This window comes from Homo sapiens, chromosome 12 (genome assembly GCF_000001405.40).
Source record: "Homo sapiens chromosome 12, GRCh38.p14 Primary Assembly".
In the NCBI taxonomy this organism is placed as follows: domain Eukaryota; kingdom Metazoa; phylum Chordata; class Mammalia; order Primates; family Hominidae; genus Homo; species Homo sapiens.
In genome coordinates this window covers 42581954-42591026 of record NC_000012.12, presented here as the reverse complement: position 1 = coordinate 42591026, position 9073 = coordinate 42581954, and the positions used below count along the sequence as shown (strand labels likewise).

The window sequence follows — 9073 nt, the reverse complement described above, 5'->3', positions numbered from 1 at the left end:
TGATGTTCTGAGAAATTCTGAGACTGGCAGTTTTGATTTTTCTTAAAAGGATAAAAATTGCATCAGTCAACACCTCCCTCCACACTCCCCCCACACACATCCTCATCTTCCTGGAAGATGATACAGTATCCTAGAGCGTTGTGGAGAGGATGGAGAGGTCAAGGAAGCCCTGGCTTTGCAGAGGCACCTGTCAAGTTCGGGTTAACAGCTGCCGCCTGTGTCTGCCCTCTGCAGTCCAGGGAAATAGTACCCACACGGTGAGACTCCACCGATCCGGAACTGGAGAGGGTGGGGGGTTCTAAGGTTTAGTGTGACACAAATGTCAGGGCAGAACTTTCAAACAGGCTGAGCCCCAGTTCAACGTGGGTGAGTGCGCCTGAGAGCCCAGCTCTGGGAATTGAGCAGACTGAAAATGTGGAGAGTAGTTTGGCCAGTGAAAAATTGTCACCGTGTTCGGATCAATGCTTTGAACCCGCTTTTAAGTGCGCCACGTTCACTTGGGTCAGGCTCTGGACATTGCGGTGGGCTGAGGTTTTCGCGGGCACGATCCCCCACACTGAGTTTTCATGGAGACGACCAGGGCCGTCGAGGCGGGGAAGGGAACGGACTAGAGGCTGAACTTTGGCTTCTTGCTCTGAAAGATCACTCCTCCGGTTCCGGGGCAGAGACTCAGACCAGCCTGTGGGATTACACGAGACAGGATCGAGTCCAAACGGGTCCCCAGCTCGGCAAGGCGCGCCGGAAGGAATCTAAGTGTTTAATTAACTGCCCCCTTCACACACCCCCCGAAGGAGAAGGAACTCAAATAGGCACCCCTACCCAAATCGTTTGATCAGAGGAAATTGGGTTTGTCTCTCCCCCACCCCCCACCCCGTCCCTTCACTCTTCCTGTGTTTCAGTCCATCGGGATTGTTGGTTAAAAAAAAAAAAAAAAAAAGGCTTATAATCGGGGGCGGGGCAGAGGCTCCGAGCGAGCCGCACTTGCGACTCTGGACCGCGGTTGGTGAACTTTTTTCTCCCTGCGCATAATCCGCCTGCTGCTCTGCCCCACTGGCTGCGCGTGGAGCCGGTCCCAGGCCTGCTCGCAGCCCTGCCCCCGGGCGCGGCCCGAGCCGGGCCCGACCTCGCTTTCAGGGCCGAGCCGGGGTACGCGTGGGCGCGCGCCCAGCGGCCTCGATCCCGCGGCGGCGTCCGCGCTCCGCGTTTTCGCTCGCGCCGGGCCCCGCGGCCGAGGGCGGGGTGCGCGGCGGCGCCGCAGCGCGCGGCTCCGGAGCCCGAGCGCACTCCGCCTGCAGCCCAGCTGCCAGCGCCGTCTCCCGCGGCCGCCGCCGCCCGACAGCGCGCCCGGAACATGCCAGCCTCGCGCAGCCTGCGCTGACTTCCCCGAGACGCGCCGCGGTCGGCACGGAGACTTTCTGGGCTCTGGATGGTTCGTGCGCTGCTCACCCTCGCCCACCCCTGACGCCGCGGACCGCAGCTCCTCAGCCCCGCAGCCCCGCAGCCCAGCAGCCCCGCAGCGGCGCCGAGGACAGTGCAGCCGAGTTGCGTCTCCCTCGCGCGAGGTGAGTGGCAGCCTGGATCCCGGCGGATTCCGCAGAGGGGGCTGCGGCGCGGTGGTGGGGGGCGAGCGCCGCAGGGGTAGGGCCGGGCACCTTCGCTGGCACCGCCGGAGTCTGTGACACCCAGACTGGGTCGGTGTCGCAGAAGATCAGGGAGAAGGTCATAATCGGTTTGTTGGGCTGTGTAGACAGGGAAAGCAGATATTGGCTGCAGCATCGCCAGGGCTCCGCAGAGGCTCTCCGCATGGCTCCTGTTTGCTGCATCACAACCAACTCTTCCCTTGGTTTTCTCCGGCGTGGAAACAGGTTCTGTAGCCCGAGGGTCGAGGCGATGCGGGGCGCCGGGAGGCGAGGGTGCGTTGGCGTGTTCCCGCCGCTTAGGATCGCCTGTCACCTACTGGCGTCCGGAGGGAGGGTACCGATTCTCTCCTCTAGCGCTGGGGAAAGGGGCTGGTGGCTTTTTGGCAGAGGCGAATCAACTCCCACCACTCTCCCCAACCCCCTGCCCCGCGATGGTGTTTGCTGAATGTAGCACAGATATAGGGAAAAAATGGGAGCGTCTTCCTCTCTTGAGGTAGAAAAAGTTGAAGAAACTAGGCATGTTAATAGTTATTAGGAGCGGGACTCAGGATGCAGCAGAAAGCTGTTAAATTTTCATTACCCTCTAAGAAAAACAAACGGCATCGCCAGTGACTATTGGCAGTGCTGTGTTATTCTTGGGACTTTGGGAAAATTGTTCACAGATTGTCTTCAGGAGGCTGAAGAACGAGGTTGGGGGTTGGGAGAGAGGGAGGACGGCTGCATCACGCTTAGTTCCAGCTTGCCTAAGGAGGGTTCAGGATCACAAGCCGAACGCGTTTGGTTGCTGATTTTTAAAAGGGTATCAGCGGCAGAACTGAGACCATGAACAAGGCAAACACACCACGGGAACCAGCCTAAAGGAAAAAAAAAAAGCACCAACAACTACAACCAAAAAAACATGTAAAAATCTGCCTCTCCTGCAGAGTTAACATGCATTTGTGCTATCAAATGGATGCATGTATATGTGTCTTTTAGGATAAGTTTTATGAATGACAAATCACTGAAATGGTATCTTGTATCTGTTCATGCATACAGTGTTGTCTACTGCCTCGTCTTAATCAGTACTTTGGAAGGCTGTGCCTGCAGTTGATGTTATATAATTGATGTGGTTCACCATCAGACATTTTTTAATGTACTTTAGGAGTAGAGGGAACTTCCATCTGTCTTTTCAGACAGGCCCAAGGTGTAGACTGGTGAGGGTTGCTAATGTTTGCCGTAGTCCGGCTCCAGATGTGTGAGCTCAGCTGTTGCCTGTCACTTAGGTGACAACTGGCCCTTTCCCACTAAGCCTTTGCTGTCTCCATTATCCTCAGTGAAGTGTCAGTGTTCAGCCGCCTTCTATTATCAGGAGTGGACTCTAGCCCCTTGGGAGCCGGCAGCCTTGTTTGACCGTCCCCAACATTATGTCTGTTTTCAGACTCTAGAAAGGAAAAAAAAAACAAAAAAAAATCCCATGACAGCAAGATAGATACATTTTGAATTGAGCATCAACTTAATCCAAAGATTCTGCTTTAATCAAGACAGTTCTGTAAGGATGACGCAGTATTTGTCAAGGCTTTTCTCTGGAACAATATTTACTCCCACCAGGGGATTTTAAACTTAAACAGCAGCCATTCATCTTGCTGTCTGGTGGAGCCTGGTTCAGTTTGCCTCCAATGTGGTCCTAGCCTTGGTGGCTAGGCTTGGCCTGGGACAGGAATCTGTCATTGTAGCCCAGCTGGAGCCTGAAGAAAGCAAAATACAGCACCTGCTGGTACCAGAGGGTTTCTAAATGCCATCAACTGGCGAGTCAGGAAACACAGAAGGAGATATTTTACCAGCTCTTCCAGAAATGTTTATACAAAGGATTTAGAGGTTAACAATGCATGTGCTCTACATATTAAAACCGAAAGGTGCTACAAATAAATGGATGTTACCCACAGTTAAGGGTTTGCACACTTGCTGATGAACTTGAAAATCTCCAAGTTTAATAAGTCATGGCTAATGTAGTATGATTCATTCTTATAAATAAGCCTCAAAAGGAAGGAAGGAAGGAAAAGAGGGAGGGATGGAGAGAGGGAGGGAAAAAGGAAGGAAAAACTGGATAGTTTATAGAGATAGACATATTGATGCAACTGAATGGGCTTAGTAAATTAATTTTTCCATCTTTAATTTGGTACTAATTGGCGAGTTATCACCGAGTGAGCCTGTTGGTTCATAGGTTTTAAAAAGAAAAATGATATATTTTACTAAAGTGACAGATTCAATCAGTTCTGCCAGTAACACCAGTGAAGCTTAAAAAGCTTATTATGTTTTTATAATCAAGGTCCATGGAAGCACTATTTGTCCATGGTGTGTGGTGGTGTAATAAGTCAGCTTGAGTCCCCCAGATAAAATCTAATATTAGCTAGGGAGAAATAAAGATCTCCTATAGGGTTAATAGCTGAACTCTTAACTTTAGAGTCAGATGTAGGTAAGTCTAGTTGTTCCTAATATTCTCTCTTTTGATAATTCTGAAAAGACCAAAAAAGTTAAATTTTGCAGTTTCTTTGATTAAGGCTTTTAAAAAGTAAGCTGAATTATAAGTTTTAAAAGTTGCATCATAATTTCTCTAAAATCTCTTATAATTACTTGAAAGCAAAATACAAAGAATTAAGTATTATGAGTGATTGTCTATAATACTCATGAAATGGAACAAGAATCTTTACAAAGTATTTTCCAGTAATTAAGTAACTCTCTTAATGGCCTATACCTATATTTTGGGCTCTCTAATATCATGGGAAACAATTTTCAGTAAAGATTATCATTACTTATATTCTACTTACTGCAGTTAATTTCCTGGTTAAAATAGTTTATAAAGAGCAAATTTTTCCTTTTAAAGAAAGACAGGAAAGCTACATGTAGTGGTGCTTGGCTCTATAGCCCCAGCTACTGGGGAGGATCGCTTGAGCCCAGGAGTTCAAGTTCAGCCCAGCCAACATTGTTAGACCCCATCTCTGGGGAAAAAAAAAAAAAAAGGTAATTTTAAAAAATCAAAGTGATTCTCATCTGTGAATAGAAATGTTAAAAGTATCATTTGACTAGGATAGACTCTTCCCCCTTGGAAAAAATAGCTGTCTCTCTCATCTCCATGTTATGTAAAATAATACCAACTGTTTAACCCTTATTAGTGAGAGAATATTAAGATTGCCTAAATCTATGTATGATTATTCCACAATAAAGAGAAGGAGTTAGGAAAGTGAAAGGATTGTGTTTCTGGGTTGCTTGGTTGGTCGATTGGTGTTTTAAGGGACCATTACTTCTTTTTCTTCTGGTCACAGAAGAAAGGATTATTGGATTGCACAATAATATCTTTAGAAGGTTGGTGTGAGCAAGCAAGTTGAGAGAGGGAAGTACAGTAATCTGGGCACCAAGTCCTGCATTGTTGCAGTTCCTCGAAACCTCATGCAGCCTATGGAGCCAGCGCTCCACAGCACGTTCCAAGGACCAAGATGGCATTGAGGAATCTGGAGCAGCCCCAAGCCTCTGACTTCCCCATCTCTGGACACACAGAAATGTAGCGCTTCATCTGCCCCAGTAACTGGTAATCACATCCCCTTGTTTATGGTCATGCTGAACTGAAGTGGAGGTTAATTACCTACGTGTTGATGAATGAACATTTTGGAGCAGTGAAAAAAGCCTGGCCTAAAATTGTATGGGGAATCTGAGTAAGCTGCTATTTCCCCCCACTTCCCCTCTCTCCTGAAGCAGGGATGGCGAACCAGACAGGCTTTACAGGTTGGAGCACGCTGATGTCATGACACTTCTGGCACAGAGATATGATAGAATAATCAGATCACTTTTCTGTATGCCAGAATGACACAATTTTTCCAAGAACCATTCCTGAGCCACTGGTCCACTGGCATTGACTATTTCCAGTTGTGGGGGGTGGGGAGGGTGATCAAACCTCTCAGAATGTAATAATTCTTCCTGTGTCTCAGTTTTATGCACTTGTTTAGACTAAACTCTAAATGCATTTTGGTTATTTTTGAAGGGACCTCTCCAGGAACAAGAATGATTGCCCAGCCTGAACCGATTAGACCTTTCCAGCTTCATTCTCCTATAAAGAGAGATTTTACATATAAAATAAAAGTAAAAATGTCAGCCAGGCAGAAGCCAATGTAAACATTTTAAAATGTAAGCTGCAAACTAGCAAGCAGCTATCATTTGCCTTTACTTAACTTTCTTCTCCCCTAAGTTTGGTCCTAAGTGAGCCTAAAAGTCAACTGACCAATTCAACAGCAGTTGCATTTTTCTCACTGGTAGATTTGGGGTAAACTCTTGGGAGAGATGCCTTTCATTTCTAGTGGATTACACTTCAGAAAAAAAAAAAAAAGTTAGGGCTGTGTTATTTCAGTTGTTCTGGTACTGAAGTCATGGACTCCTTTCTAAGAGTTTTGTCCCAGCTGCTGATTTATAGCACCCACCAGCTTCTGCTTTGCGTGTGCTTCTCTCTGTGTCCTTTTCTCATTGGGTCTCCGGAAGAAAGATCTGTCAATAATGCAATGAAAATATTGCTGTGAGATGCAGACCCGTAAGTAGACTCCTCCATGCCGAGCACTCTTGCTCAGCTGCCCTTCTTTTATCTGAGGCAGAGATCCCTGGGCTTGCAATTATGGTCTTTGACTTTGGTAACAATTCTGTTTGAAATGTTTCCAATTACACACAATATTGGCGGCATGTAGCAGCTGCATGCCAAAAAGCATTTCGAAGTGTGTTCCAAGAATCAGGCTGTGATTGCTTTTAATTTAAATAAAGGCTATTTGGTTTCCTGTGATGTTTTTTATAACCACCTTTCCCCCCATTTTTGTTGCCTTTAAAAAAAAAAGAAGTCTAATATAAAGTAGCCACCACTTAATGTGCTATAATATTGGCCCTAGTTTTCTAGGATAGCCATTTTCTTTGAGCAAGCACAACAAACTTTTTAATAAAGGAATTTTAAAGAAACATTTATAGCAGTTTGGATTACCCCAAAGAAGTAAAGGGGAAAAGGTTATCTTAGAGCATATTGTAAGTAGCTAATGTTTTCAAGTTTGCCTGTCTCCCTCTTTAGGGACATAGCAATATAGTTATCTTTTTAGGTTATTGGACATCATTTGGTACACTTTTTTTTCCCAGATTCCTCTATTTTTCTTTTTGTGGCTCTATGAAGAGGTGTTATAAAAGAACATTAAAAAGGTAGAGAGATCTCAATAAGAATATTCTTAAAATGGGGGATAGAGGGGAATCAGCACATAATTTCACGATTTTATTGGAAGTAAACTCTCCAAATCTGCCTCCTCTGTGGGCTTGAAATCTCTGAACACTGAACCCTTTTTAGAAACCTTTTAAAACTGGTGGTTTAAATCTTTTAATAGCTACTAGATATATTTGACTTATTAGATCTGAAAATAAGAAAATATACACTCTCAGGACTTGGAGTAAATGGACAGGTAATAGAACTGGGGAGTTCTGTTTCCAGGACAATTTTGGCCCACCTGAAACATAACACCTAGAGCTAGAGGGTATCCAAGAGGTGAGGTGCTAAGATGGTCCTAATGAAGGTGTTTTCACATAGGCTCTTTCAATCCTGGCAGAAACATCCTATAGAATATAGTGCTTCTTTGGGTTGAACAGTAGTTGACTTGCATAAATGCCAACATCTCTTCTGGCATCTTTGGAAATCTTCCATCATGTAATAAATATTACTGTATAACCCAAATTTGTAAATGCCATGTTTCATGTAGCCCCTGTAGAGACAGCTGAAATTAGCCTATGCTGCTAGGGATGATTGAGATCCTGGAGGTTAGGTGACTGCCTAAATCCAAAGTACTACCAGTAACTAATGCTATTGGAGGCCTTTGATGAAATATAGGAGAAGGTGTGAGGTTAAACTTAGCATAGTACTGTACTGCGAAGAATAGCCCACCAAAAGATGCTTAGAGTTTTCCCTTAAATCCCCTTTATCCTTGGAAATTGTCTTTCAGTTAAGCAAACCTTCTTGGAGGAAATTTGCTCAACTAGAGGTAAAATGAGGTTTATGTTATTTTACCAGCTGAACACCCTAGCTTGCCAGACACATCCACCTTACCCAGGCCCATTGCTATAGAGACAAAACCCACAGTAACTATGGTTGAAATAGAAAGTCTATTAAAACCTTTTTCTATGTTGGCCAGCTCCTCTGCCCCAGTTAAAATGCTGCCTTCTGTGTACACACACACACACACACACACACACACACGTTTCAATCTAATAATAGTAAACTGCTTTAAGCCATGTATAGTTTCACCAAGGGCATTTGTAATTCTTTGGTTTCTTTTATTTCACTGATAAGCAAATATGGCAATTTTCGGAAGAAACACATAACTTGTTAACTACAATTGATACTTCCAACTATCCTATTTACGTGCATGAATAATCTAAGTTCCTAATTTGGGATCTGAAAAGGGGCTAGAATTCAGGGGTGTCCAACCTTTTGGCTTCCCTGGGCCACATTGGAAGAAGAATTGTCTTGGGCCACACATGAAACATACTAACACTAACGATGGCTGGTGAGCTAAATAAAAAAAAGAAATCACACACACACACAAATCTCATAATGTTTTAAGAAAGTTTACAAATCTGTGTTGGACCACATTCAAAGCCATCCTGGGTTGCATGTGGCCCACGGTCCGTGGGTCGGACAAGCTTGTGCTATGTAGTGTGGTATGTTGTTTTGCTTTGAAATATCTCTTTCAAATCATTTAGAGGATGTTCGATTGTACACAAGAAGACTGCTTAGTGCTCTAATGTTGAAATATGTGTTATAATGTATGTCAAAAAGAGATTACATTTTACATTCTTCTGTGACTATGAAATTAATATGTATGTTCAGTGCTTGAAGTATATGCATGTTACATAATTTTTAGAAAGAGATAAAGTTAGGTCTGAAGCGCATTAGAGAATCACAGATGTTTCTTGTAAGAGAATACATATGCTTCATAGGAATTTTGAACTGCTTTCTGATGCTAAGCTTTGTTCACTGCAAGGATCATATGAATAATTTCATTGAGTTGCCCCAGTTCTTACTTACACAAGCCTTGAGAAAGGAGCTGAAGTGATAAATAACTTGCCCCCCTCACCTAGTTCTGAATTGCTTTAGCCTTTTATGTTTCATGAATGTGAAGGGAGGGAATAAAATATACAGAGAAGATGTTTGTGTTTAACTAACTTAATCATACAAGTTCCCTTTGTGGGCCTTCTATAAGCTTAAACAGCTTGGCAGGCTAATAGCCAAAAACGTGTCCTCAAGTACTGCCAAAAGTGTTAAAAGCAGACCAGGCTTTCTCCATATTGAGGTACTGGGAACATATTTTTTTTAACCTTCTGAATTTTGGGAATAAATCAGAAAAATCACTCTTTTTTTTTCCCTCCCCTTCCTTACCCACAGAAACCAA

General features: G+C 44.4%; 1 protein-coding gene across 3 annotated transcripts in view, besides 2 other annotated features; it reads left to right on the top strand.

Moving 5' to 3' along the window:
* Window positions 1-558: an enhancer, noted in NCBI's record as "H3K4me1 hESC enhancer chr12:42984271-42984828 (GRCh37/hg19 assembly coordinates)". NCBI's record gives its function as "activates a minimal SCP1, AML or CMV promoter by ChIP-STARR-seq in naive H9 embryonic stem cells {active_cell/tissue: H9 hESC(naive)}" and the evidence as "EXISTENCE:reporter gene assay evidence [ECO:0000049][PMID:30033119]".
* Window positions 1028-1277: a silencer, noted in NCBI's record as "silent region_4367". NCBI's record gives its function as "represses an Ori minimal core promoter by ATAC-STARR-seq in GM12878 lymphoblastoid cells {active_cell/tissue: GM12878}" and the evidence as "EXISTENCE:reporter gene assay evidence [ECO:0000049][PMID:35858748]".
* Window positions 1281-9073, top strand: part of PRICKLE1 (prickle planar cell polarity protein 1) — a 132990-nt gene continuing 125197 nt past the window's right edge. For 2 of the 3 annotated variants that reach the window (XM_011537947.3, NM_153026.3), the window contains exon 1: window positions 1281-1562. The gene's annotated coding sequence lies outside the window, so the exon portion shown is untranslated. Of the gene's footprint in view, window positions 1563-1653; window positions 1866-9073 lie in introns of those variants that run through there. The other variant, XM_017018840.2, reaches the window with a different exon arrangement.